Below are 27,883 nucleotides of genomic sequence, written 5' to 3' on the forward strand. Positions count from 1 at the left end.
AATCCCAGCACTTTGGGAGGCCAAGGCGCATGGATCACCTGAGGTCAAGAGTTCAAGACCAGCCTGACCAACATGGGGAAACCCCGTCTCAAATAAAAATACAAAAAAATTAGCTGGGCCTGGTGGCAGGCTCCTGTAATCCCAGGTACTTCAGGAGGCTGAGGTAGGAGAATCGCTTGTACCCGGGAGGGAGAGGTTGCAGTGAGCTGAGATCGCACCATCTCACTCCAGCCTGGGCAACAAGAGCGAAACTCTGTCTAAAAAAAAAAAAAGTTTACTGCGTTTAAATAAATAAATAACCTAGAAACATTGCCAAAGTATAGAAAATTATATCACATGACAACAAATTTTAAAATAACCTAACAGAACTTCTAAAATAAAATAATACAATAATCAAAATTTTTAGGCCAGGCACAGTGGCTCACACCTGTAATCCCAGCACTTTGGGAAGCCGAAGTGGGTGGATCACTTGAGGTCAGGAGTTCGAGACCAGCCTGGCCAACATGGTGAAACCCTGTCTCTACTAAAAATACAAAAAATTAGCCAGGAGTGGTGGCAGACACCTGTAATCCCAGCTACTCAGGAGGCTGAGGCAGGAGAATCACCTGAACCCGGGAGGCAGAGGTTGCAGTGAGCTAAGATCGTGCCATTTGCACTCCAGCCTGGGCAACAAGAGTGAAACTCTGTCACACACACACACACACACACACACACACACAAATTAAATTTAAAAGATGGGCTAAACAGCAAACTAGATATGGCTAAAGAGGGAATTAGTGAGACAGAAATCAGACACCAATCACAGATTCAAGAAACTCCATAAATTTTACACATAGACACATCATAGTAAAAGTGCAAAAAGCCAAAGATTTTTTTTAAAAAACTCTTAAAAGCACTCAGAGGAAAAGAATCAGAGATTCTAAAAACAAAAAACAAAACAAAACAAAAAAACCCCAAAACAACAACAACAAAAAACAAACAAAAAACCAGTACTACAACATGGATAAACCTCAAAAACGTTATGTCAAGAAAAACCCCAAAGTTATGCCAAGTGAAAGAAGCCAGTCACAAAGGTTCACATATTGTCAAAATCTAATTTTCTTTTTGAGACAGGGTCTCACTCTGTCACCCAGGCTGGAGTGCAGTGGGACGATCACTGCTCTACAGGTGCACGCCATCACACTCGGCTAATTTTTGTATTTTTTGTAGAGATGGGGTTTCACCATGTTGCCCAGGCTGGTCTTGAATTCCTGGGCTCAAGCGATCCACCTGGCTTGGCCTCCCCAAGTGCTGGGATTACTGGCATGAGCCACTGTGGCCCATCAGTAAGATCTAATTTCTATAAAATATCAAGAAGAGGAAAGTCTATAGAGACATAAAGTATATTAGTGCTGTCAGTTGGAGGATGGGAAACAGGGAATGTCTGCTAATGAGTACAGGTCTATTTTGGGGTGATAAGAATGTTCTTTCTTTCTTTTTTTTTTTTTGGTCTGAGACAGAGTCTCGCTCTATCACGCAGGCTGGAGTACAACGGTGCGATCTCAGCTCACTGCAACCTCTGCCTCCCAGGTTCAAGCCATTCTCATGCCTCAGGCTCTGCAGTAGCTAGGATTACAGATGTCCGCCACCACACCTGGCTAATTTTTGTATTTTTAGTAGAGACAGGGTTTCACCATGTTGGCCAGGCTGGTCTCGAACTCCTGACCTCAAGTGATCCGCCCACCTCGGCCTCTCAAAGTGCTGGGATTGTAGGTGTGAGCCACCATGCTCAGCCAAAAATGTCCTAAAATTTGATTGTGATGATGGGTGTACAATTCTGTAAATGTTACTAAAAACTATTGAATTGTATATTTTAGGTGGGTGGATTTTATGGCATATAAATTATATCTCAATAAAGCTGTTTATAAAAAGAACAGCAGTTAGATTGACAGGTGATGATATCTCAATAAAGCTGTTTATAAAAAGAACAGCAGTTAGATTGACAGGTGATGATATCTCAACAGCAACCATTTCCCAGCATTTTGGGAGGCCGAGGTGGGCAGATCATTTGAGCCCAGGAGTTCAAGACCAGCCTGGGCAACATGACCAAACCCTGTCTCTACAAAAATTAGCCAGCTGTGGTGGCACGTGCCCGTGGTTTGCAGCTACTCGGGAAGCTGAGCCCAGGAGTTGGAGGCTGTAGTGAGCCATGATCACGCCACTGCACTCCAGCCTGGGCAACAAGAGTGAAACTCCATCTCAAAAAAAAAAAAAAAAAAAAAAAAGGCTTCCCCAGGCCATTCAAATGTACAGCCAAAGTTAAGAAACATTGTCTAAAGGGATGTGTTTCCGGCAAAAGAAAAATTATCCCAGATGAAGGTCTGAGGTTCATTCCTTCATTCAACATATGGAGCCTCCATTATGTGTTTGGAACTGTTCTAGACACCAGGAACACAGCAGTGAGCAAAACAAACCAAAGTCCCTGCCCTCTAGGAGAGGAAAACAGACCCAGAATAACATAAATAAGTAAAACATGCTCCGTTAGACAGTAATAGATGCTGAGAAGAAAAAATGAAGCCAGGAAAGCGGATGTGAAATGCTGGATACGTGTGTCTGTGAAATTTCAGATGGAGTAACTAGGGAAGATTTTTGGGTAAAGACCAAAATAAAGGGAAGGAGGGAGCCATGCAGACGTTTGGGTTATGGCAGGTGCAAAGGCCTTAGGGCGGGAGTGTGTCTGACTTACTCCAGGACCCAGCAGGTCAATGGGACTTGAGTGGAATGAGGCAGGGGCAGGGCAGTCAGCTACGAAGACAGAGATCGGGAGGCAATTTGCGAGCCCTGGGACAGATCTCGGATTTTGCTTTAAGTGAGATGGGAGTACTTGGGTCGGGGAGTGGCATGGGTTTGATTTACATTTTAACAGGACTCTCCGGCAGCTAGGTGGAAATGGACGGTAGGGGGCAAAAAGAGAAGCAAGGAGGCCCAGGAGGAGGCTGGTTCAAGACCCCTGAGATGATGGAGCACTGATGGAGCTGGAGCGGGATGGGGCCGGAGGAGGTGAGGGATGAGATTCTGCAAGTGGAGCCCGCAGGATCTGCTGATCGATGGGACGAGGAACGGGAGAAAAATTAAAGCGGCGCATGAGGCAGACGAATGCAAACTTCACCAATAGCTCAACGAAAAGACAGACGGTGACCGCTGAGAGGCAGCGTCGGATCTGGGTAAGGGCGGGTTCCTGAGCCTGCCAGGCCTGGATTCAAACCTCGGCTGAGTGGCCTTGGACAGGTCATCAACAAACAGAGCCTTCGTTTATTCATGTGCAAACGGGGCCAAGGACCGGGCCTGCCCCGAGGTATGCCTGAGGCTTGGGTGAGCAGGCGCCGGGCTCGCAGGGCGCGCTCCTAACCCGTCCCCAGCGGCTCGACGCTGTGGATCCCGCCGCCCTCCAGCCCCGGCTCCGGCGCCGACTCCTGCTCAGGCTCCTGCTCCTGCCCCCGGCCCCGCCCCCGGCCCCGGCCCCGGCCCCCGGCCCACCCCGGCCCCGCCCCCAGCCCCCGGCCCCCCCGGCCCCGCCCCCGGCCCCGCCCCGGCCCCGCCCACCCCGCCTGCGGCCCAGCTCCTTCCCGCGGCTCTGCGATGCGGCCCGCAGGGTGACCCGGGCGGGAGTCCGGGGACCCGCGATCAGCCCCGGAGGACGGGGTGGGGTCGCCCCAAACAGGAGCGCCGGGACCGCTGGGACCCCGCACTCGGCGTCCGCCGCCGCCGGGTAGCCGGGCAGTGGAGGTCCCGGATGAGGCGACAATTTTTCCGGCCCCCCCTCCCAGTCCCGCCCCACTTCCGGGGCCGCCACTTTCACTTTCTCTTCCGCCGAAGCCGCTCCCCTTGCGAAGAACTGGGGCCTCCCGGGAGGAGAGAGGGCTTTGCCTTGAAACCCGGGACGCCAGGGGCGCTCCCGCAAGTGGGGGTCCTCCGGGACTTGGAACGCCCCGGCTGGGTGGTGTCCGGGCGTCCTTTCCCCGCTTCTTCCCACCTCGGCTGGTCCCGTTTCCTCCTGCGCCCAGTGCGGACCTGTCTCGGCGCCCGCTGCCCTCTCACCGCCCCACGCAGGATCCCGGCCTGGTCACCGGGCAGTGTGATGCTTCCCGACTGCCGCGGGGACAGCGAGGCACACACAGGGCTTGGGCCGCGCCGGAGGCCACACGGCCTGGCTGAGTTGCTCCTGGTCTCCCGCCTCTCCCAGGCGACCCGGAGGTAGCATTTCCCAGGAGGCACGGTCCCCCCCAGGGGGATGGGCACAGCCACGCCAGATGGACGAGAAGACCAAGAAAGGTGGGCACAGGCTGGAGGTGGCTGGGGAACTTCCGGTGGGAAGTGGGCCCCGCAGGACCTGGCCTTGCCCCTGGCCAGAAGGGCCTTGGAGAGGGGGCTTTAGCCTGCCCTCCCTCTACCCTCCTCCCCATCAGTTTCCTCCTTTGGTACCTGCTGGCTTCCAGAGCCATCTTGGGGCCCTGAGAACTCCTTGGGCTGGCTCTGTGCTGAGATGGGGCTAGGGGACTCGCAGAGGACACAGGGCATTGAACTTGGAGACCTCCTGGGCTGGTGGGAGACAGACGTCAGTTGACCTGAGAAGCAGGGGTACTTGCCTCTTCTCTTGTCCCCTGCACCTAGGGTTGTAGAACGGAAGTCAGTCACTGCCTTGCTGGAAACCCTCCCATGCCCCTCTGTGTTCTCCAAACAAAACCCAGAGGCCCTGGGTGGCCCACAGGATATCTGTCCTCAGTCACCCCGCCATGCTCACTCTACTGGAGCCCCACTGGCTTCCTTCGGTTCTCATCCAACCATTTTTTGGCCAAGGCCCTTACTCTTCCTTCCACCTGGACCACTCTTCCCCACTGGAGCTTGACACGTGCAGCTTCTCCTCCTTCAGGTCTTAGCTTCAGTGTTACCCCCTCCCAGAGGCCTCCCCTGGTCTCCTTAACCTGTTTATTTCCCTGCCAGCAAGGATCGCAATCTGACTTTTTTTTTTTTTCTTGTTAAACTTGTTCATTGTCTCCCCACTGGGCAGGGAGATCCATAAGGAGAGGGGCCCTGTTTATAAATCTCTGTGGGATTCCAGTTCCTGGGACAGTGGGTGGCACACAGTAGAAGCTCAATAACTGCTTGTTGGATAAATGAATAGAAATATGAGGGACCCTGGGAATGGGAAGGACAAACAACCAAATGAGCCTAGTGTGAGGAGGAGTGGGGAATATTAGAGAACCCCTCCCGGAGAAAGGGACTTTTAGTCTGGGTGCTGAAGGATACGTAGGAGTTCACCAGGAAGACAGAGAAAGCAGCACACACAAAGGATCGCCTCCTTTCCTACCCCATTACTCTCAGCTCCTGAAAATAAACCCTGTGCTAACTGGCTCCTGCTGTACTGGCTTTCAGCAGAGGAAATGGCCCTGAGCCTCACCCGAGCAGTGGCGGGCGGGGATGAACAGGTGGCAATGAAGTGTGCCATCTGGCTGGCAGAGCAACGGGTGCCCCTGAGTGTGCAACTGAAGCCTGAGGTCTCCCCAACGCAGGACATCAGGTGAGGAGTGCATGGCTGGCCTGAACCCAAGGGACAGCAGGACAGGATATTCTTGCCTGTAGAACAGTTCTTCCTAATGGCACGTTCTGGCTTCAGGAGGCCTGGCTTCTAACCCTAGTTATGTCATTAATCAACTGTGAAATACAGAGCAGGTCACTTCACCTCTCAGTGTGTCCTCATTTTAAAAATCAGACCGTAACAGTAGCTATCTCATAGGGTTGTTAGGAGGTGTACTGTATTAGGATGTTAGGCCTTATACAACAGAAGAAAACGGAACAGTGACGTAAACAAATTTGATGGCAGGGAGTCCAGATAGGGAGGTTCTGCTCCCGACAGTCCTCAGAGGCTCATATTGTTTCTCTCACCATTCTGCCATTCATTCCCAGATTCCTCATGGTGCAAAATGGCCATTCCAGCTCCATCCAGCCATCACATCACAGGAGGAAGGGAAGAAAGACACCCCTCCACACTCTTCTAAAGAGCATAGCTCAAAAATTGTACACACTTCTTCCGTTAATTCCTGTGGACCAGAACTGATTCCCACAGCTACAGTTCAGCTTGAGGGGAGACTGTATAGCCAAGATATTCAGCTAGAATTCAGGGGTTCGCTTGGTAAGGGAAGGGAAGAGAATGGATACTGTCGGTCTGTGCTCCAGGAGACTTAAACTCAATGCTGAAACACTTTGCACAATGCCTGGCGTGTTATGCACTCAATAATAAACATTAGTGTCTATCGTTATTTTTTGACTGCTTTTTCATTACTGGATAGTAAGGCAATAGTTTTATGGTTTCTGATTTTTGGTTCTCTTGGTGGGTCCCATTTGGTTTTTCTTAAAACAGTTTTATTTATTTATTTATCCTTACAGTTCGACCATTTAAAGTATACAGTTCAATGGCTTTTAGTATATTCAAGGTTGTGCAACCATTGCCACAATCAATTTTAGAACATTTTCATCATCCTGTAAAGAAACCTGGTACTCATTAGCAGCCAGTCCTCATCTCTCTACCTTTTCCCTAACTCCCCAACCTTAGGCAACCACTAATCTACTTTTTATCTCTAGGGATCTACCTTCTGGAAATTCCATATAAGTTGAATCATGCAATATGTGGCCTTTTGTATCTGGCTTCTTTCACTTAGGATCGTTTTCGAGATTCATCCATGTTGTAGCATGTCTAACAACTTCATTCCCCTTTTTTTTTTTGACATGGGGTCTCTTGTCTAGGTTGAAGTGCAGTGGTGCCATCATCGCTCACTACAGCCTCAACTTCCTGGATTCAAGCAGTCCTCCTGCCTTGGCCTCCCAGGTAGCTGGGACTACTGGCATGTACCACCACACCCGGCTAATTTTTTTTTTCTTTGAGATGGGAGTCTCACTCTGTCCCCCAGGCTGGAGTGCAGTGGCGCGATCTCAGCTCACTGCAAGCTCCACCTCCCAGGTTCACGCCATTCTCCTGCCTCAGCTTCCCGAGTAGCTGGGACTACAGGCGCCCGCCACCACGCCCAGCTAATTTTTTGTATTTTTAGTAGAGACGGGGTTTCGCCGTGTTAACCAGGATGGTCTCCATCTCCTGACCTCGTGATCCGCCCGCCTATGCCTCCCAATGTGCTGGGACTACAGGCGTGAGCCACCACACCCAGCCACACCTGGCTAATTTTTAGAAAGTCTGTAGAGATAAGGTCTTGCTTTGTTGTCTGGGCTGGTCTTGAACTTCTGGCTTAAGCAGTCTTCCCACCTCAGCCTCTCAAAGTGCTGGGATTACAGGTGTGAGCCACCATGCCCAACCAGAACTTTATTCCTTTTTATTGCCAAATAATAATCTATTGTATAGACATATCTCATTATCTTTACTCATTAAATCAGTTGATGGACATTTGGGTGTTTCTATTTTTTGGCTATTATAAACAATGCTGCCGTGAACATTTGTGTCCAACTTTTTGTGTGGACACGTTTTCATTTCTCTTGGATACACACTAGCAGTGGAATTGCTGGGTCATACAGTAACTCTATGTTACTTTTTGAAGAAATGCCAGACAGTTTTCCAAAGTGGCTGCACCATTTTACATTCCCACCAGCATATATGAGGGTTCTAGTTTCTCCACATCATCTCTAATACTTGTTGTTGTTTATCTTTTTGATTATAGCCATCCTAGTAAGTTTGAAGAGGTATCTCACTGTGGTTTTGATTTGCAATTTCCTAACCATTTGATGACAAATGATGTTAAGCATCTTTTCATGCACATATTTTCTTTGGAGGTTTGCCTATTCAGGTCTTTTGCCCATTTTAAAATTGGGTTTATCTTTTTTTTTTTTTGAGATGGAGTCTCGCTCTGTCACCCAAGCAGGAGTGCAATGGTGCAATCTCGGCTCACTGCAACCTCCGCCTCCCAGGTTCAAGTGATTCTCCTGCCCCAGCCTCCTGAGTAGCTGGATTACAGGTGCCCACCACTACACTGGCTAATTTTTGTATTTTTAGTAGAGACGGGTCTTACCATGTTGGCCAGGCTGGTCTTGAACTCCTGACCTCAGGTGATCCACCCACCTTGGCCTTTCCAAAGTGTTGGGATTACAGGCATGAGCCACTGCACCCGGCTGGGTTTATGTTTTTATATTGAGTTGTAGGAGTACTTTATTCATTTTAGCTAGAAGTACTTTATTCATTTTAGCTTATCAGCTACATGATTTGCAAAAATTTTCTCTCATTCTGTGGATTGTCTTCTCACTTTGTTGATGGTATCCTTTGAACCACAAAAGTTTTAAATTTTGATGATGTCCAGTTAGTCTATGTTTTATTTTGTTGTTTGTGCTTTTGGTGTCATATCTAAGAAATCGTTGCCTCATCCAAGGTCATGAAGATTTACCTCTATATTTTCTTCTAAAGATTTTATGGTTTTAGCTCTTACATTTAGGTCTTTGGTCCATTTTGATTTAATTTTTATATAAGGTGTGAGGTAAGGGTCCAGCTTCATTCTTTTGCACGTGGATATTGAGTTGTGCCGGCACTATTTGTTAAGGCTGTTTTCCTCTGTTTAATCATCTTAACCCTTTTTGGAAATTAATTGACCATAAATGTGAGTGCTTATTTCTGGACTCTCATTTCTATACCATTGAACTATAATATATATCTGCCCTTACGCCAGTACCACACTAATTACTATAGCTTCATAGTATTTGAAATCAGGAAATACAAGTTCTCCAACTTTTGTTCTTTTTCAATATTGTTTTGGTTATTGCAAGTCTCTTGAATTTCCATATAAATTTTACGATCAGCTTGTCTGTTTCTGCAAAAAAAAAACAACAACAACTGGGAATTTTGGTAGGGATTTCATTGAATCTGTAGATCATTGGCCACTTGATTTTAAACAAAATATTGAGATATCTACTTCTTGAAATGATTGCTTGAGACAGTACCTGTGTACTCCTTGCTATGAAAAATGAGGAAGTTAACATACTCATCTTCCACCTTTCCTTTTCCTTACTTTTTTTGTTGAAGTATCATTGTGGACACTTTCCCAGTTGACTTCCACTTGATCCCCTGAATTAACTAACTGGCACTGGCGTTTCCTTTGTAAAATGTACAATGTCAGCCACCATCTTGCTACTAAAGTGTGGCCTGTGGACCACAACATGGGGGGAATCTCAGGTCTCACCTCAGACTTGCTGGGTCAGAACCTGAGTTTTGAGAGGCTCTGGGCAACCGGCACCTCTCAGACCTGCTGTTGGGTTCTCATCGATGGACCCGATGCTTCCTAGCAAATGATACCTGTTGTATGTGTTATTGGTAATAACATAGTTTACTTAGCTATTACATTAATTAATAAAACATGAGCGCTGAAAGAGTTGTTTCTGTGAAAATAAGCTGATTGCTTTAAAAAGATAAGAGACAAATCACCAAAAAAAAAAAAAAAAAAGATTAACACTTTTGGGTGAGACAGTAGTAAGGAAATACAGTAAAAATCCAGAAGGGCTCTGTGCTCTGATGCTTCAGGAGTGTGTCTAAGTTCTTGCTCGCTTTAAAGAAGCTGCTACTAGAAATTATAGATCATGATTATCGATGTGGTTCATACAAAAAAAAAAAAGAAAAATCCCTGGGAAACTCCAATGAGCAGGTATAAACTCACGCTGGGCATGGCGGCTCAGCACTTTGGAAGGCTCAGGCAGGAGAATGGCTTGAACTCGAGTTTAAGACCAGCCTGGGCAACATAGTGAGACCTTGTCTCTGCAAAAAATAAAAAAAATTAGCCAGGCTGGGTGGCACACACCTGTAGTCCCAGCTATTTGAGAGGCTGAGATGAGAGGATTATTAGACCCTGGGTGGTTGAGGTTGCAGTGAGCCATGATCATGCCTGAGTGACAAGGTGAAACCCTGTCTCAAAGAAAGAAAGAGAGAAAAGCCATTGGCTGTACACCTAGAGACTGGCCAGTGAATATGCATTTATAGTATGTAAGTTAAAATTAAGTGTTTAAGCTTTGTCTGCAGCTGTTTTTGTGATTCTCTGCTGTTCACCAGCGATCCTGATGTCACATTGGATGAGAGAGCTCCAGCTGTATTTTTTTGTTGATAGTGTTAAGATTATAGCTTTAAAAAATTTTGTTTTCTAACATAATTAAGGCCTTTATGCTTTGCCTCTAGGTTGATTCTAAAAGTGTAACACTACTAGAAAGGATTTATAGTATTTTGATTATGGAAATATTATTCACTATAGAATAACTAGTGCAGTTGAAACCATATGCACTTTTATGTTTCAAAACCCTTATTGCTGGAAGAACATTTTGGGGTTAAGATCCAGTCCTTTTCATTTTTTACTTTTCTTCTATTCTCCTGTATCAGACTCATCTATTTTTGTTTTTCAAGAACTTTTCACGTGGAAAATGTGGTAAACTTTTAGAGTCTTTGCATGTTTAAAAATTTCTATATTTTGCTCTGTCAATTCATTGATAGTTGACTGGGTATTCAAATTGTTTACCTGAAGAATTTTGAGAGCATTTTCTGGACTGCTTTTAAATAAATTTCAGATATTATTTTATCCTTAAATACTTTAGTATGTGTCTTCAAAAAATTAGGACTTGGCGGGGCACGATGGATGATGCTTGTAATCCTAGCACTTTGGGAGGCTGAGGCAGGTGGACTGCTTGAACCCATGAGTTCAAAACCAGCCTGGGCAACATAGTGAAACCTTGTCTCTACAAAACATTAGCTAGGCATGGTGGTGCGCCCATCTAGTCCCAGCTACCCAGGAGGCTGAGGTGGGAGGGTCACCTCAGTCCAGGAGATTGAAGCTGCAGTGAGCCAAGATCATGCCACTACACTCCATCCTGGGTGACAGAAGTGAGACCCTGTCTCAAAAAAAACAAAAACAAACAAAACCCCTCAATACTATTATCACACCTTAGAAAAGGAATAAGAATTCCTTAAAATCCGCTAATGCCCTGTTTATATTCACATTTTCCTATTTCATTAGTGCTTTTTACAATTGGTTTCTTCAAATCAGGAGCCAAACAAGATCTACATGTAGCATTTCTTACTATGTCTTAAGTCCCTTTTACTCTCCTCTATTTTTATGCCACTAGTTTTTTTTTTAAGAAACCTGGTCTTTTGACCTCTAGAATTTTCCCCATATTCTGGATCTATCCATTACCTCTTCATGGTATGTATTAGACCACTCTAGCATTGCTACAAAGAAATATCTGAGACTGGGTAATTTGTAAAGAAAAGAGGTTTAATTGACTCAGTTCTGCAGGTGGTGTAGGAAGCATGGTCCTGACATTTGCTTGGCTTCTGGGGAGGCCTCAGTGAACTTTTACTGAAGCGGGAGCAGGCACTTCACATGGTGAGAGAGGGAGCAAGAGAGAGAGTTGGTGGGGAGGTGCCACACTTTACAACAGCCAGATCTCACGAGGACTCACTATGGCGAGAAGTCACTACAGTGAGCGCAGCACCAGGCTGTGAGGGAGCTGCCCCTATGACCCAAACACCTCCCACCAGGCCTCACCTTCAACACTGAGGATTACAGTTCAAGGTAAGATTTGGGCAGGGACAAATACCCAGACTATCATGGTGTCATTTACTATCTCCCGTTTTTCCTGTAACTGGTAGTTAGAGATAAAGTTTCAATTAGTCAGCAGTCACTTTTTTTTTTTTTTTTTTTGAGACAGAGTTTCACTCTGTTGCCCAGGCTGGAGTGCGGTGGCGCAATCTTGGCTCACTGCACGGTCCGCCTCCCGGGTTCACACCATTCTCCTGCCTCAATCTCCTGAGTAGCTGGGACTACAGGCGCCCGCCACCGTGCCTGGCTAATTTTTTTTTTTGTATTTTTAGTAGAGACGGGTTTTCACCGTGTTAGCCAGGATGGTCTCGATCTCCTGACCTCGTGATCCACCCACCTCGGCCTCCCAAAGTGCTGGGATTCAGCAGTCACTTTTAATGTGCAGGAACTCTTCCTCATTTTTTGGTTGCTTCATGCCTTTCCTTGCTTTCTGAATGCAGTGTTTTCCCAAATCTCTCTGAAGGTACTAGTTAGACTTCACTGTTGCTTATTGTTCCATACCCTAAATGATCTCTGTTTCCTTTGGGGTCGGTTCTGTTTTTTCATCTTTTCATGCTTTTGATTTTCCAAACATGTTGGAGGATCCTCAAGAAAGTTAAAACCACTTTCTCTGGAATAATACCATGTAGATTTAAATCCTGCCTCTGGCTGAACACAGTGGCTTACTCCTGTAATCCCACTTCGGGAGGCCAAGGCAGGAGGATCACTTGAGGCCAAGAGTTCAAGACCAGCTTTGGCAACATAGTGAGACCCTGTCTCTACAAAAACTTAAAAAATTAGCCAGGCATGGTGGCATGAGCCTGTGGTCCCAGCTACTTGGGAGGCTGAGATGGGAAGAGCCCAGGAGGTTGATACTGCAGTGAGCCAAGGTAGCACTACTGCACTCCAGCCTGGGCCACAGAAAGAGAGCCTGTGTCTTAAAATTAAATCAAGACATACAAATGAATCCTGCCTCTAACAGTTATTAGTTGCTTAGTTTGGCAGAGTCACTGGAACCTATCTGTGCCTCACATTTTTATCTGTAAAACAGGGATACAGCAGTACCTGTCTGATGGGTTGGTTGAGAGGATTAAATGAGTTAATACACATGAAGTGCATTAAATAGTCTTAGCACGTAGTTAACAACAACTTCTGGTGGTTTCACTAAGGAGCAGGGGAGAGAAGACAGAAGAGGTTGGAGAGGTCAGGGAGGTGCCAGATCATGGAGGCCCTCGTGTGCTGCCACGAGTTGATTCTAAGAGTAGCGTGGAGCCATTGGAGGGGCCTAACTGGTGGGTTCTAATAAAGGAAGAAGCATGGGTGGGGCCTACCCCAGACTGGGGTTTGTGTGTGTGTGTGTGTGTGTGTGTGTGCATGGCCATGTGCCTGTGTGCAAATATGTACATGTCTGTAGCCGGTGGCTGAGGCTGGACCCCTGGCCAGAGCCCATGCTGAGCCCCTGCTGTTCTCTGCAGGCTGTGGGTGAGCGTGGAGGATGCTCAGATGCACACCGTCACCATCTGGCTCACAGTGCGCCCTGATATGACAGTGGCGTCTCTCAAGGACATGGTGAGTGAGGAGGCGGAGGGCGACACTGGGGTGAAGGCTCTCCCTTTCACTCCTGCTTCCTCTCTCTCCTCTGGCCCTCCCTTCCCACTCTCCCTCTCTTTGCCCCCACCAGGTTTTTCTGGACTATGGCTTCCCACCAGTCTTGCAGCAGTGGGTGATTGGGCAGCGGCTGGCACGAGACCAGGAGACCCTGCACTCCCATGGGGTGCGGCAGAATGGGGACAGTGCCTACCTCTATCTGCTGTCAGCCCGCAACACCTCCCTCAACCCTCAGGAGCTGCAGCGGGAGCGGCAGCTGCGGATGCTGGAAGGTGAGGCTCTGCCCTGAGCACCGCCGGACCCAGCGGGGGCCCTGGACTCACTTGAGGGCATAGGGCAAGCAGGGGCAGAGCCCCTGGGTTTTTAGTCAGGGACTCACCCAGAGGACCCTATCCAAGTGGGGAAGAGAGGACCTAAGACACATGGGAGGGAGCATTTCAGGGACCCATCATGAGAACAGCTGGCACGGGGAGGGGTGGACTCCGTCCAGGCTCCGGCATTCCCAGCTGTGTGACCTTGGGCAAGGTTGCTCCTATCTGCTGCCCAGTTTGCTAAAATCATAAATTGGGTATGACAGTGATCGTGATAACTAGTGTTTATTCTTAATTTTTAACTTCTGAAATGTTTCAGACCTACAGAAAAGTTGCTAAATTTTACAAAGTAGTACATAAAGAATTCCCATGTACCTTTCATGTGGGTTTTACCACATGTGCTTTCTTTTTTTTTTTGAGACGGAGTCTCGCTCTGTCGCCCAGGCTGGAGTGCAGTGGCACAATCTCGGCTCACTGCAAGCTCCGACTCCCGGGTTCACGCCATTCTCCTGCCTCAGCCTCCGGAGTAGCTGGGACTACAGGCGCCCGCCACCACGCCCGGCTAATTTTTTATATTTTTAGTAGAGACGGGGTTTCACCGTGTTAGCCAGGATGGTCTCGATCTCCTGACTTTGTGATCCGCCCGCCTCGGCCTCCCAAAGTGCTGGGATTACAGGCGTGAGCCACCACGCCCAACCCACATTTGCTTTCTTTTATCATTCTCTTTCTATATAAAATTATTTTTTTTCTGAACCATTTTGAGAGTAAGTTGCAGACATGATGTCTCTTTCCCCTAAATAATTCAGTGTGCATTTCCTTGAAAAGAAAGGTCATTTTCTTACATTACTGGGTATAACAATCCAACTCAGGAAACTAACGCTGATACAGTACTGGTATCCAGTCTACAGATCTTACTCAGATTTTACCAGTTGTCCCACTATTGTCATTTATAGCAAAAGACTTGGCATTCTGCTGTCATGTCTCAGTCCCTTTCAAAGAGTCCAGGCCAGTTTCTTTTTTTTGGCGGGGGTTGGGGGCTGATGTTTCCTCCGGAGTGGATCAAGTCACTGTTTTGGCAGGACCGCCTCAGCGGTGCTCTTGGGTCCCTCTTGGTGCATCCTTCAGGAGGCACGGAAGGGCTGGTGTTGTGCTGGGTTTTGAAGCTCAAAGGACATAGAAGCATTTATCGGTGGAATAGGGACCCTGACCCTGGGGGAGCCAGGATGCCCACTTGGCCAGATGGAAGCTGGAGGTACCCCCAGGGAGGAGGGAGAGGATAGGGGGAGGGTCTGCCTGGCTGGCTCAGGGAGACCCACCCCCATGGGTGTGGACCAAGTGGGCCGCGTGGAACCACCACCCTTTAACCCTCCTCCACAGATCTGGGCTTCAAGGACCTCACGCTGCAGCCGCGGGGCCCTCTGGAGCCAGGCCCCCCAAAGCCCGGGGTCCCCCAGGAACCCGGACGGGGGCAGCCAGATGCAGTGCCTGAGCCCCCACCGGTAAGCTGTCCTTGGCCTCAGTATCCTCTTCTGTGCCCCTCCCTTGCCTCACCCTGCCCAGTCGGGCTCACAGCACCCTCTGCTCCCAGGTGGGCTGGCAGTGCCCCGGGTGCACCTTCATCAACAAGCCCACGCGGCCTGGCTGTGAGATGTGCTGCCGGGCGCGCCCCGAGGCCTACCAGGTCCCCGCCTCATACCAGCCCGACGAGGAGGAGCGAGCGCGCCTGGCGGGCGAGGAGGAGGCGCTGCGTCAGTACCAGCAGGTGGGCGGGAAAGTCCCTGGACAGACACCTGCAGACCGCACGGGGGAGGTGTAGGCCAGGAAGGGAGACACCTGCGCACTGCCGCGCCTCTCCGTTACTGCCTTGCCCCTCCCAACCATGCTGCTGGCAGTGACCCTGCACCTGGCTGTGACCCTGCACCTGGCTGTGACCTGCCCTCTCTCAAAGGTCACCCTGTGGCTGAGACCCGCTCCCTGGCTGTGGCGCACATCCAGGTTCACATGCCCCACTCCCACGTGGGCTGTGGCTCCATCCCCAGCTTTGACACACCACACGAGTATGGCTGGCCATGACCCCAGCACCCTAGCCATGACCCCAGCACCCTAGCCATGACCACACCTCAGCTCGGACCTCACCCCCACCCGTCTGTGACCTAAGCCTGCTCCACCTCGCCGTGACCTCACCCTGGACTCTCCTACTCCTGACCTCTTCCCTCTCGGGCTGGGCCCACCCCTGACTTCCTGAGAGCCTGGCCTGGACCCTCGCTGCGCCCTAGGGGGATGACCCCCGACCCCGGTCCTACGCCTTAGCCCTACCCCGCCCCCATCGTGACACACGCACTAATGACACAGACATTGATCCCCGAGTGCTCCCCATTCTGATCTCACCCCTGGCCCCACCTGCATTCCCCTTGGACCCGGTGCTGCCCCTGGCCACCCCACTCCTGTTCCCGTCTCAGCTCCTCGGCTTCGTCACTTCCCCACCCCTGACGTTGAGTGGCTCCACCAGCCCTGGCCCGGGCCCTGCCCTGCTACCTGACTCACCACTCAGACCCCGGCCCCCTTCCTTACCTTGCTGCCATTGCTGTCTCACCTGGCGCCTTCCGTGGCTACCTGGCCGGCCTCCCCTCCCTTGGCTTCCCCACCTCCACCTGGCCTCACTCCCAGCCCCGCCCCTCCCAACCTGCCTGCTCCTGCCCATCCCCCACCCCCCACCCCCCATCCCCCAGCCCCACCCCCATCCCCCACCCCCGTCCCCCATCCCCCATCCCTACTGGCTCCCAGCTTTGCCTGTGGCTGGTCTGACCCAGCCCTGACCACGCCCCCTGGCCCTTCCCCCTTCGGGGTCTGACCCGCCCCCGAGGCCCTGACCCGCCCCGTGGCCCCGCCCCGTGTGCCCAGCGGAAGCAGCAGCAGCAGGAGGGGAACTACCTGCAGCACGTCCAGCTGGACCAGAGGAGCCTGGTGCTGAACACGGAGCCCGCCGAGTGCCCCGTGTGCTACTCGGTGCTGGCGCCCGGCGAGGCCGTGGTGCTGCGTGAGTGTCTGCACACCTTCTGCAGGTGCGGCCCCCAGTCCCACCCCCGGCAATGCAGCTTAATCAAAGCCGCCAATTACGCAGGGCTGGACGTGGGTGGGGCCCTGTGCTCTGATACCTCATTGGACGCCCGCGAAAACCTACGAGGTAGGCTCCGTCTCCCCATGTTGCGGACGAGGAACCTGAGGGAAAGAGAGGCCCAGCGCCTTACCCCAGGCCCACGGCTCATGAGAGAAGCAGCCTAGACGTGAGCGCAGGCGTGGGGGGAGACTCCCTTCCCCTCTACCTTTCGCCGCCCGGGCTCCTGCAGCCACGCTGCTCTCAGCCTCGCTGTGGGCATCTGCCAGTTTCTGAGTCTCCTGTCATGGCCCCCCCACCCCTGAATGTGGGGAACACAGACCCGCTCACCACAGCGGACCCTTGTGGAGCCGCCCCTGGGTGACAGGCTCCGTGCCTGCCTCCTGCAGCTTACATTCCAGCAGAGAGGCTGATGAGAATCGGATAATCGCTGGTTGATGTCTTTGTGAATTGTGTCAAATGCTACATACAGTACATTAAGAGACAACAGGAGTCCTTCCCAGAGAGGGTGGTCTGGAAGCTTCCAAGGAGGTAGCCCCAGAGCAGGGACCGGAAGGCCTGCTGTAGGTGTGGGGTGTGGGCCTGGCCTGTTGGAGGAGACTGAGGAGGTCTCTTGGTGGCTGGAGCAGAGGGATGAAGGGGGTAATCAGAGCAGGATAGAGAGGTGTTGGGTACGTGAGCAGCAGTGAGGAGTTGGGATTTGTTCTGGGTAGGATGGGAGTCACTGGGGAGACATGGCTGCTGTTCTGAGATAGACTCTAGGGGCCAGATGGATGCAGGGAGCCCAGCGAGGAGGCTCCTGGAGTCACCCAGGTGGGGGATGTGGGGCCTGGACCAGAGAATCAGAGCGGCAGTATGGAGGCAGGGTGGAGGCCTTGGTGATGGGTTGGTGAGAGGGATGGGAAGGAAGGAGATATTGAGGAGAAGTCCACCTGGGGTGACTGAGTGAGGCCCCTGGGGTCAGGCCTTGCCATGTGAGGGATGGAGTCCCCAGTGAAGGGGGTTCCTATGATCCTAACTCTTTTCCCCTCCCCTCCCCTAGGGAGTGCCTGCAGGGCACCATCCGCAACAGCCAGGAGGCGGAGGTCTCCTGCCCCTTCATTGACAACACCTACTCGTGCTCGGGCAAGCTGCTGGAGAGGGAGATCAAGGCGGTAAGGCCTCAGGGTGGGAGACATACCCCAAGTCCCAACTCCTAAGGAACTGGGCCCTGAGCAGGCAGCAGACATCTTTCTTTTCTTTCTTTTTTTTTTTTGGAGATGGGGTCTCACTATGTTGTCCAAGCTGGTCTCAAACTCCTGGGCTTAAGCGATCATTCATCCTCAGCCCCCCAGACATTTTTCAAGAGCTTTGTCCATGTGGGGTGTTGAGACCCCAAGCAGAAAAAGAATTGAGGGGAGTAGCTAGTCAAGAAACCACATCTATGAAGGAAGGACAGCAGAGTTGTTAAGAATCAGGGACTCGGCTGGGCGTGGCAGCTCACACCTGTAATCCCAGCACTTTGGGAGGATGAAGTGGGCAGATTGCTTGAACCCATGAGTTCCAGACCAACCTGGGCAACATGGCAAAAAATATTCAAAAAATAGCCAGGCGCGGGGGCATGCGCCTGTAGTCCTAGCTACTTGGGTGGGGTCTGGGATGAGTGGGCTGAGGTGGGAGGATTGCTTGAGCCTAGGAAGTAAGGTTGCAGTGAGCTGTGATTGTGCCACTGCACTCCAGCCTGGGCAACAGAGTGAGACCTTGCCTCAAAAAAAGAAAAAAAAAATTAGTCAGGGAACTCTGGAGCCTGGTGGCCTGGGTGTGTGACCACAAGTCAGATATTTAACCTCTCTATGCCTCTATCTCATCTCTGTTAGAGTCAGAGTTACAGCTTCTATTTCCAGGATTGCAAAGATTACAGTAGAGGATATGTGTATAGAATTCATAGTAGTACATCCAGGCGCAGTGGCTCATTCCTGTAATCCCAGCGCTTTGGGAGGCCAAGGCGGGTGGATCACCTGAGGTCGGGAATTCGAGATCAGCCTGACTAACATGGAGAAACCCCATCTCTACTAAAAATAGAAAATTAGCCGGGTGTGGTGGCGCATGCCTGTAATCCCAGCTACTCAGGAGGCTGAGGCAGGGGAATCGCTTGAACCCCGGAGGCGGAGGTTGTGGTGAACTGAGATCGCGCCATTGCACTCCAGCCTGGGCAACCAGAGCGAAACTCCGTCTGAAAATATATATATATATATTTAGAGTAGTGCTTGTCACATAGTAAGCCTTTGTTGTTGTTAGCGCTTACTGTGTAACAAATCACTGCAGGCTCAAAACAACAGTCATTTATTCAGCTCATAAATCTGCAAGTTAGGACAGTTGGCCCTCTGTATCTGTGGGTACCACACTGGAGAATTCAGCAACGGTGGATAGAACATATTCTTACAAAAAAAATTACAATAAAAAACAAATTTAAAAAACAATACAGCATAAACTATTTGTATAACATTTATGTTATATTAGGTATTATAAATAATCTACAGATGATTTAAAGTGTATGGGAGGATGTTGGTAGGTTGTATGCAAATACTGCACTATTTTATATAAGGGGTTTGAGCATCCATGGATTTGGGTATCTGCAGGGGTCTTGGAACCAATTCTCTGGATACCGAGGGATGACTATAATTTGGGCTGGACTTACCTGGATGGTTCTTCTGGTCTGGGCAGGGCCTCGCTGATTTCACCTGGGCCTGGCTGGTGGGTCAGCCGCGGTGGCCTGGTTTATAATGGTCTCATCTGTGATGACTGGGATGACTGGGGCCTCCTTCCACTTCAATGTCTCACCCACCAGCAGGCTGCCCGGGCCTTCTCATGTCATGGTGGTCTCAAGGTTCCAAGAGCAGCCATGGGGAGCCCCAGTGCATGTGTACTTTCTAAGTCTGCTCATTTCTCACTTGACACTGTCCCATTGGCCAAAGCAAGTCCCATGCTCAAGCACAGAGTCCATTGGGAAGGGACCACCCAAAAGTGTGGAATCGGGGAGACAGAAACAAATTGGAGTCACCACTCCGCCAGTCTGTCACAGCGTTATGTGTGTCTGCATACGTGTGTGCTTGCCGCTGGCGCTCTTCATGAATTCGTTAGCAGGTTCTCTGCCTGGCTGCTGGTGATCTCGAGCAAGTTGTTTCCCTTCTGTGGGACTCCATTTCCTTATCTGAAAAGTGGACAGTTGGGCTTGATTCATGGTTTTCAAACTGCTGGGAAATGACCTTCCCAGACTTGGGCACTGTGGGTTCCCAGGCCAAAACATGGCAGCCGAGGCCCAAATGGGAGATCCCCACAAAACACATACACAGACCTCCTCTTTATTTCTGTCCCCCCTGCCTCTCTCCTATGCCCCTATTTCTCCTGAGAATGCTCCCAACTTCACCAAGTGTTTATGGAGCCCAAGAGGTTCTGCCCCTGGGGAAAAGGGGGAGGCAGAAGAGGTAGAACTTTGGGAGTTCACAGCTCTGATATCAGGAGCAGCCCCATTTTTCTCTGTTGTCTCTGGGTGGTTGCTGAGGCTCCTTCGCTCTGGCCTGGAGAGACCTCATGACCAGTCATTCCATATGTCCCCAGCACCCATAGCCATTTGCTTAGAGGTTTCCCTGTGGAGTCCACCCCAGCCAAGGGGCATTATGCTGGGGCCAGGTTCATGCCAAAGGGCTGCATGAACTTCCCTGGAGCCCACTGGAGTTGATGTGAGTCTCAGAAAATGGTCAAGTGTGACAGAGAGAAGGAGGCAGGGATCAGCCAAGTAATGTAGTGGAGGTTGTTTTTACAAAAACAGAAAAATATGCCTCACCACATAGAACCAGAGCAGAAATCAGAGAGAAAATCACCCACAAACCCAGGAAATCCTCCAATTGCATTTTATCTTATTTCCTTCAGTATCTCTGGGCAAATTTTTTTTTTTTTTCCTTTTTGAGATGAAGTCTCACTCTGTCATCCAGGCTGGAGTGCAATGGCGCGATCTCAGCCCACTGCAAGCTCCGCCTCCCGGGTTCACGCCATTCTCCTGCCTCAGCCTCCCAAGTAGCTGGGACTAGAGGCGCACACCGCCATGCCCAGCTAATTTTTGTATTTTCAGTACAGACGAGTTTTCACCATGTTGGCCAGGCTGGTCTTGAACTCCTGACCTCAGGTGATCCACCCACCTCGGCCTCCCAAAGTGCTAGGATTACAGGCGTGAGCCACCGTGCCCAGCCAGATATGATTTTTTAAGTCAACTTTACTTAAGTATACTTTGCACACAATAAAATGTACTCATTGTAAGTATGCAGTCAGGTAAATTTTAACAAATGTAACTCTCGTAACCACCAACCACTGTTACATATAACATAGGCATGATTTCTGCCTCATTGTAACCAGCATGGATACAATCGCTTTAGCTTTTGTTATTTTGCTATAGAATTTTTCTAAAGATTATTACAAATCTCAATAGCACATATACTGTTTATACCTCTTAGTTCTAGTTTCTCAGTTTGTAATACTCCTTCAAGGAATGTTTTGCATGGTGTATTCTTTTTTTTTTTTTTTTTTGAGACGAAGTCTCACTCTGTTGCCTAAGCTGGAGTACATTGGTGTGATCTTGGCTCACTGCAACCTCCACCTCCCGGGTTCAAACGATTCTCCTGCCTCAGCCTCCCGAGTAGCTGGGACTACAGGCAGATGCCACCACACCCAGCTAATTTTTGTATTTTTAGTAGAGATGGGGTTTCACTATGTTGGCCAAGCTAGTCTTAAACTCCTGACCTCGTGATGCGCCCGCCTCGGCCTCCCAGAGTGTTCAGATTACAGGCGTGATCCATCATTCCTGGCTGGTGCATCTTATATATTATTTTCTTGGGATAAAGTTAAAGAAGTGGGATGGGTACCAAAGGGTCAGAAAAGTTTGGGATGGTTGAAACGTTATTGCCACATTGCTTTCTCAGTGCTACGTACTAGCTTACTAGTTTGTTTAATTTTTATTTTTTATTTTTGCGGGTACATAGTTGGTGTATATATTTCTGGGGTACATGAAATACTTTGATACAGGCATGCAATGCGTAATAATCACATCATGGAGAATGGGGAATCCATCCCCTCAAGCATTTATCCTTTGTGTTACAGACAATCCAGTTAACCTCTCTTAGTTATTATAAAATGTACAATTAAATTATTGGCTACAGTCTGTTGTGCTATCAAATACTAGGTCTTACTCTATTTTTTTGTACCAATTTGCCATCCCCACTCCCCTGCCACGCCTCACTACCCTTTGCAGCCTCTGGTAAGCATCCTTTTACTGTCTGTCCTCATTAGTTCAGTTGTTTCGATTTTTAGCACCTGCAAATAAGTGAGAACATGTAATGTTTGTTTGTCTGTGCCTGGCTTATTTCATTTAACATAATGACCTCCAGTTCTTCCATGTTGCTGTAAATGGCAGGATTGCATTCTTTTTTGTGGCCGAATAGTACTCCATTGTATATATGTGCCACGTTTTCTTTATAGGATACTAGTTTAATCATGTCTTTCCCAACATTGCTTATTATTTATGTTCTTTTCTTTATTGTGAGAAAATAGACATAACATTTACCATTTTAACCAGTTTTTAGTATACAGTTCAGTGGCATTAAGTACATTCACACTGTTGTGCAACCATCACCACCATCCACCTCCAGAACTTTTAGAAATTCCCCCCACTTTCTTTCACTTTCTTTTTACTTTTCTTTTCCTTTTTTTTTTTTTTTTTTTTTTTTTTTTAGCTAGGATTTCATTCTGTCACCCAGGTTGGAGTGCAGTGCATCAGTCATGGCTCACTGCATCCTTGACCTTCTGGGCTCAAGCGATCCTCACAACCCAGCCTCCCAAGCAGCTGGGACTACAGGTGTGAGCACCACACCTGGTTATTTTATTTTTTAAAAAAATTTTTTGGTAGAGATGAGGTCTCACTGTATTTCTCAGGCTGGTCTGAAACTCTTGGCCTCAAGGAATCCTCCTGCCTTGACTGACCTCCCAAAGTGCTGGGATTACAAGTGTAAGCCACCACACCTGGCCTAAAATCCACTCTTTGAATGGAGTTTTTCAACACTATGAGGATTACATGAAGAAAAGAGCCTGGGGCTGGGTTGGAGTTTCTGGGCTGGGGGCTTTCTGGAGGGTATTTAGTGGTCAAGGGTCATATGTCAGGTGTTCTGAATCCTGAGCAGCAAGGACATGGTGTGTTGGCAGCTCCTGACCCCTGAGGATTACCAGCGATTTCTAGACCTGGGCATCTCCATTGCTGAAAACCGCAGTGCCTTCAGCTACCATTGCAAGACCCCAGATTGCAAGGGATGGTGCTTCTTTGAGGATGATGTCAATGAGTTCACCTGCCCTGTGTGTTTCCACGTCAACTGCCTGCTCTGCAAGGTGGGGCCTGCAGGGACTCCCCCCACCTAGTCACTGTCATCTTGCCTGGAGCTCACCACACTGCAGTGCGTGTTCTCCTGGGAAGGGAGCTGTGACACTGGCCTGCTGGTCATGACTTAGAGCTACATGTCAGTGGGAGAGTGTGGCTTGAGCCTGAACTGAGCCCTGGCCCCACAGACGGAGTCCCAGCCCCAGCCCCAGATGGAGCCTCAAACCTAGGCAGCCCTGGTTCACAATGGAGCCCCGACCCTGGGCCAGTCTGACCCCAGTCACAGACTGAATCCCAGTCCCACATTGAGCCCTGATCCCATCCAAGTCCATAGACTTGGCCTCTGACCAAACCTGACCCTGCACTTGTCACTTAAGGTGGTCCCATATTCAGCTCAGACCCTGAACCGAGCTCTGACCCTGGCTTCTGACTGAATCTGTGACAGACTAAGGCCTGACCCTGGCCCTATACCACGTCTCCACCCGTGTCCTCAACTGAGTGCTGACCCCAAACCTAGACAGCCCTACCTGATCCTTCCCCCAGGCCTGTCCCCGCCGCTTCATCTCAAAAGTTGAAGGTGAGGAGCCGGTAAACAGGTCTGGAGCCTGGTCTCAGACTCAGCCTGAGCAAGCTCAGTCTGGGGTCATTGGGCCTGTAACCCCGGGCAGGCCCTTGTTAGGGATGCAGGGTCTCACCCTAGGGGTATAAGGGATTTCTGTGCCCATCAGAACTTAAATAAGCTGGGTGTGGCAGCACATGTCAGTGGTCCCAGCTACTCAGGAGGCTGAGGTATATTTTGCTGTTAGCATATGTGATGACCTTGACTTCACCTCCCTGGCGCCAATATCCTCTTCTGTAAAATGGCTTATGCATTACAAAGTGAGGTCCTGCCAGTGACTACACCTAGAGGCATTAAGTGCCTTTGTGGACTCCTGCCCTGCACCTCACCTCTCCCAGCTTCTTAACCCCCTGAGGAACCTTCTTACCTTGAGTCCCTCACCCGCTACAGGCCATCCATGAGCAGATGAACTGCAAGGAGTATCAGGAGGACCTGGCCCTGCGGGCTCAGAACGATGTGGCTGCCCGGCAGACGACAGAGATGCTGAAGGTGAGGCTGGGACAGGGCCGAGGCCTAGGGATTTTAAGTTCTGGGATCCAGGTGGGGGCTGGGGGCTTCCCAGTAAGGGCTGTGCTCACACATCCCTGGAGGCTCTGACCTCCCTTCTGGCTGTCACTCCCATCCGGAGGTGGGACTTAGGCCGAATGGTCATGTCAGGAAGAGCGTCTGGGTGGAGGGTGGAGACCACAGGAATGAAGAGGGGGTTGCTGGATGGAGCCTGGCCTGGCAGAGCCACACAGGAGAGACTCCACAGCTCTAGAGGGTCACCACCTTCTCCCTGCCATGGGGAGGGGCCAGGCTGGGTGACTGCCCCAGCCCCGCCCCAGGGCCAGCACCTGCCCCACTCCAGGTGATGCTGCAGCAGGGCGAGGCCATGCGCTGCCCCCAGTGCCAGATCGTGGTACAGAAGAAGGACGGCTGCGACTGGATCCGCTGCACCGTCTGCCACACCGAGATCTGCTGGGTCACCAAGGGCCCACGCTGGGGCCCTGGGGTGAGTCTTTGCTCGTGGTGGTGTGGAGAGGGTGCCCTTGTGGGCTTTGCCTTAGAGGAGGGCTGGGAAAACTACAGCCCATGGGCCATATCCAACCCAGCACCTGAATTTGTACAGCTCCCGAGGTAAGAATTTTTTTTTTTTTTTTTGAAACGGAGTTTCACTCTTGTTGCCCAGGCTGGAGTGCAATAGCACAATCTCAGCTCACTGCAACCTCTGCCTTCCGGGTTCAAGCAATTCTCCTGCCTCAGCCTCCCAAGTAGCTGGGATTACAGGCATGCGCCACCACGCCCGGCTAGTTTTGTATTTTTAGGAGAGACGGGGTTTCTCCATGTTGGTCAGACTGGTCTCAAATTCCCGACCGCAGGTGATCCACCTGCCTCGGCCTCCCAAAGTGCTAGGATTACAGGCGTGAGCCACCGGGCCGCAAGAATGTTCTTTACATCTTTAAATGGTTGAAAAAATACCAGAAGATGACTATTTTGTGACGTGAAAATTACATGAAATCCACGTTTCAGTGTCCGTAGGTAAAGTGCTTTGGAGCACAGCCGTGTTCATTCATTCACATGTTGGCTGTGGTTGCTTTTACACTACAGAGGCAGAGGCCGTATGGCTGCCCGGCCCAAAATGACTGGCCCTTTGCAGAAAAGGTTTGCCCACTCCTGCCCTAGAGGACAGCAAGTAAAGGTTCGATCTGGAGTCAGAGGTGGATTGGCCCCTGGCTCTGGCACATACTGACTGTGTGATTAGGCTGCCTGCCACTCACCTCTGTCAGCCCCATTTCCTCTGTGAAATGGAGATGATAGCTGGGCTTATCTCAGGCTTGTTGTCAGAATCAAGTGGAAAAATTGCAAGAGAAGTGCTTAGAGAGCCTGTCACTTGGTGAGCACCCTTGCAGATGGTAGCTGTCGTTATTAGGGGTGTGCTCTGGAATTGGGGGCCTGTTGCTACGTTCAGGTAGACTTTCAGACAGGTGGAGGCAGAGGAAACTGCCCTCTCGCATGCTGACATGTCTAGAATATGCAGAGTGGTCAGATCCTCTCCCTGGCCTGTTCCCGGATCTAGGCGTGGGTAGACTGAGTGCTGTGGGAGCCCAGAAAAGGCCTCAGTGACTCTCCATCAGGTAGCTGAGGCTGACCAGGCCATTCTTGCAGGAGGACCTGCAGAGGCAAAGGCCCGGGGTGGGAGAGCGCTCGGCTGTGGGGGCAGTCTCTGCACTGCGCTGACATTCTCTTCTCTTCCTCCCATCCTCTAGGGCCCAGGAGACACCAGCGGGGGCTGCCGCTGCAGGGTAAATGGGATTCCTTGCCACCCAAGCTGTCAGAACTGCCACTGAGCTAAAGATGGTGGGGCCACATGCTGACCCAGCCCCACATCCACATTCTGTTAGAATGTAGCTCAGGGAGCTTCGTGGACGGCCTTGCTTGCTGTAGCGTTGTAGGGGCCCTGCCTGCACTGCGGTTGTCCACGGTCACATCTGCCCCAGTGCCTTTGTCCTTCCCTTGGGGCTTGCCGGCCAGACTTCTCTCCCCTGCGGCTCCCACCTCTGCCTGACCCCAGCCTTAAACATAGCCCCTGGCCAGAGGCCTTGCTGGGTGGAGCCTCTGTGTGACTCCATACTCCTCCCACCACAACACTCATCTGTCAAACACCAAGCACTCTCAGCCTCCCCGCCTTCAGCTGTCAGCTTTCTGGGGCTAACTTCTCTGCCTTTGTGGTTGGAGGCCTGAGGCCTCTTGGAACTCTTGCTAACCTGTTCAGAGCCAGGAAGGAGACTGCACAGTTTTGAAAGCACAGCCCGTCAGGTCCGGCTCTGCGTCTCCCTCTCTGCAGCCTGTGTAAGCTATTATAATTAAAATGGTTTTCCGGGAAGGGATGAGTGTGATGTCCTTGAGAGGAAATGAATGTCCTGGCCTGGGACTCTACACACAGGCAGGATCCTGAGGTCTCTGGGAACTGCATCAGAAAGTTGACTTGTCAGTCCATCTGTGGTAGAATGAGGCTGTGACTGAGCACTGGGACCTTTCTACCAGATGTGGACCCCATGCCCAGCCTCAGGGGCAAGGATGCTCTTGGGTCACCGTCAGCCAGGACAGGTGGAGTGTGCAGTGTGTCAAGTCTGCAGAGAAGGATGGGCTTAGGGGCGGGAGGGGAAGTCTTGCCACTCCTGCTCCCTTTTGACCTCTCAGCAGGCATCTAGGGTTGGCAGGTAGATAGTTCAAGAAGGAACGAAGCTGCTGCAGTTGAGGGGTGGGGTTGTCCATCCTATTTTCTCGTCTCAAGCAAGATGGCACAGTATCGATTCAGCAGTATTTACTAGAACCCACTCTGTGCTGGTCGGAGGTTACTAAGACAGGGTCCTGGGATGTTCATTCTCTAAGTCTTTCCTCCGCTCTGTGACCCACCCTCCTTCCCCTTTTGAGATCTGGTATTTGATGCCCAACACATTGTCCACGCTGTGACGTGACCATCATCATAGCAGGCAGAGGGCGCCTCTGCTGCTGAAGGCCTGTGATTTTGTGGGGAAGGGCCTGTTCTAGCAACTGGAAAGGCACTGCCACCTGCCGTTGGATGCCAGGACTCAAGAGCTGGCCCCAGTCACTGTGCGCAGAGCTGTCTGAGAATGTGTGAGTGGACTGGGTCCTTCGGCACTGCCTGCATTGGCTCAGGGCAGTCAACCGTCGCAGAGGATGAGGGGCACACTCAGGCAGCCTCCCCGGCCCTGGAGGCAGAAAGGCCCAGGCAGAACCACTGACTGGGAGGAAACAGAAAAAGCAGAGGAGAGCCAGGCTGCAGGCGTGTGGATGGGACCAGCTCAGGCAGACGCTGTCTCATACCCACTCTCCCCTCTCTTGCCAGGGCCTGGCCTGGTGTCTCTCAGGAGCCTGGGCATGAGACAAAAGCAGAGATTGTTCTCTTGTGGTACCACAGGCTGTAACCAGTCCACCCAGTGTTGTTTTAGAAATTTAAATCGGTTGCCCATCTTTTTAAATTGGCAACATCGTTTACCACATTAAAATCTAGATGCCCTGCTTCTCTTGAAAATGTCAAAGCTTGGTAATGCCAGGTCCTCACTTCTACCTGGGGGGAATGGAGTCACAGAGATGTCAAATCTCTTCATGGGGTGTACACCCTCCAGTTTGCCACAGTCCTCACCACCCCAGGACTCACGCCGAGGCCTTTCCAGTGCCCTTGCACCATCCTTTTTCTCGTAAGAGGAAGATGAAGTGGGGCTCTACGCGCGGCGTATCACAGGT

The 27,883-nt window shown here is 50.6% G+C and overlaps 1 protein-coding gene across 14 annotated transcripts, besides 11 other annotated features; it reads left to right on the top strand.

Moving 5' to 3' along the window:
• Window positions 1,549-1,705: a silencer, noted in NCBI's record as "fragment chr20:386661-386817 (GRCh37/hg19 assembly coordinates)". NCBI's record gives its function as "represses an EF-1alpha promoter that drives an FKBP-Casp9 reporter gene in an ReSE screen in phorbol 12-myristate 13-acetate-treated (for megakaryocytic differentiation) K562 erythroleukemia cells {active_cell/tissue: K562(+PMA)}" and the evidence as "EXISTENCE:reporter gene assay evidence [ECO:0000049][PMID:32094911]".
• Window positions 3,529-3,798: a silencer, noted in NCBI's record as "silent region_12575". NCBI's record gives its function as "represses an Ori minimal core promoter by ATAC-STARR-seq in GM12878 lymphoblastoid cells {active_cell/tissue: GM12878}" and the evidence as "EXISTENCE:reporter gene assay evidence [ECO:0000049][PMID:35858748]".
• Window positions 3,776-4,418: an enhancer, noted in NCBI's record as "H3K27ac-H3K4me1 hESC enhancer chr20:388888-389530 (GRCh37/hg19 assembly coordinates)". NCBI's record gives its function as "activates a minimal SCP1, AML or CMV promoter by ChIP-STARR-seq in naive H9 embryonic stem cells {active_cell/tissue: H9 hESC(naive)}" and the evidence as "EXISTENCE:reporter gene assay evidence [ECO:0000049][PMID:30033119]".
• RBCK1 (RANBP2-type and C3HC4-type zinc finger containing 1) lies at window positions 3,831-27,671 on the top strand. 14 transcript variants are annotated; one of them, XM_011529137.3, is made up of 13 exons: window positions 3,831-4,311; window positions 5,362-5,557; window positions 12,752-12,874; window positions 13,058-13,151; window positions 13,264-13,462; window positions 14,879-15,000; window positions 15,090-15,263; window positions 16,403-16,563; window positions 17,659-17,770; window positions 22,845-23,024; window positions 24,023-24,121; window positions 24,483-24,626; window positions 25,882-27,671. In XM_011529137.3, the coding sequence occupies exons 1-13, from the start codon at window positions 4,290-4,292 to the stop codon at window positions 25,960-25,962; spliced, it is 1,707 nt and encodes a 568-aa protein (XP_011527439.1). In that variant the 5' UTR covers window positions 3,831-4,289; the 3' UTR covers window positions 25,963-27,671. The 14 variants fall into 14 exon arrangements, 13 of the variants coding, with proteins under 13 accessions (XP_011527439.1, XP_011527440.1, NP_001397699.1 ...); XM_011529138.2 differs by having other exon boundaries at window positions 5,413-5,557; NR_136659.2 differs by lacking the exon at window positions 12,752-12,874 and having other exon boundaries at window positions 5,413-5,557; window positions 16,403-16,538.
• Window positions 4,369-4,418: an enhancer, noted in NCBI's record as "active region_17436". NCBI's record gives its function as "activates an Ori minimal core promoter by ATAC-STARR-seq in GM12878 lymphoblastoid cells {active_cell/tissue: GM12878}" and the evidence as "EXISTENCE:reporter gene assay evidence [ECO:0000049][PMID:35858748]".
• Window positions 4,419-5,059: an enhancer, noted in NCBI's record as "H3K27ac-H3K4me1 hESC enhancer chr20:389531-390171 (GRCh37/hg19 assembly coordinates)". NCBI's record gives its function as "activates a minimal SCP1, AML or CMV promoter by ChIP-STARR-seq in naive H9 embryonic stem cells {active_cell/tissue: H9 hESC(naive)}" and the evidence as "EXISTENCE:reporter gene assay evidence [ECO:0000049][PMID:30033119]".
• Window positions 4,469-4,568: an enhancer, noted in NCBI's record as "active region_17437". NCBI's record gives its function as "activates an Ori minimal core promoter by ATAC-STARR-seq in GM12878 lymphoblastoid cells {active_cell/tissue: GM12878}" and the evidence as "EXISTENCE:reporter gene assay evidence [ECO:0000049][PMID:35858748]".
• Window positions 4,629-4,728: an enhancer, noted in NCBI's record as "active region_17438". NCBI's record gives its function as "activates an Ori minimal core promoter by ATAC-STARR-seq in GM12878 lymphoblastoid cells {active_cell/tissue: GM12878}" and the evidence as "EXISTENCE:reporter gene assay evidence [ECO:0000049][PMID:35858748]".
• Window positions 4,739-4,808: an enhancer, noted in NCBI's record as "active region_17439". NCBI's record gives its function as "activates an Ori minimal core promoter by ATAC-STARR-seq in GM12878 lymphoblastoid cells {active_cell/tissue: GM12878}" and the evidence as "EXISTENCE:reporter gene assay evidence [ECO:0000049][PMID:35858748]".
• Window positions 16,300-16,349: a silencer, noted in NCBI's record as "silent region_12576". NCBI's record gives its function as "represses an Ori minimal core promoter by ATAC-STARR-seq in GM12878 lymphoblastoid cells {active_cell/tissue: GM12878}" and the evidence as "EXISTENCE:reporter gene assay evidence [ECO:0000049][PMID:35858748]".
• Window positions 25,502-26,002: an enhancer, noted in NCBI's record as "H3K4me1 hESC enhancer chr20:410614-411114 (GRCh37/hg19 assembly coordinates)". NCBI's record gives its function as "activates a minimal SCP1, AML or CMV promoter by ChIP-STARR-seq in naive H9 embryonic stem cells {active_cell/tissue: H9 hESC(naive)}" and the evidence as "EXISTENCE:reporter gene assay evidence [ECO:0000049][PMID:30033119]".
• Window positions 26,003-26,503: an enhancer, noted in NCBI's record as "H3K4me1 hESC enhancer chr20:411115-411615 (GRCh37/hg19 assembly coordinates)". NCBI's record gives its function as "activates a minimal SCP1, AML or CMV promoter by ChIP-STARR-seq in naive H9 embryonic stem cells {active_cell/tissue: H9 hESC(naive)}" and the evidence as "EXISTENCE:reporter gene assay evidence [ECO:0000049][PMID:30033119]".

The sequence above is a fragment of the Homo sapiens genome, chromosome 20 (genome assembly GCF_000001405.40).
Source record: "Homo sapiens chromosome 20, GRCh38.p14 Primary Assembly".
In the NCBI taxonomy this organism is placed as follows: Eukaryota; Metazoa; Chordata; class Mammalia; order Primates; family Hominidae; genus Homo; species Homo sapiens.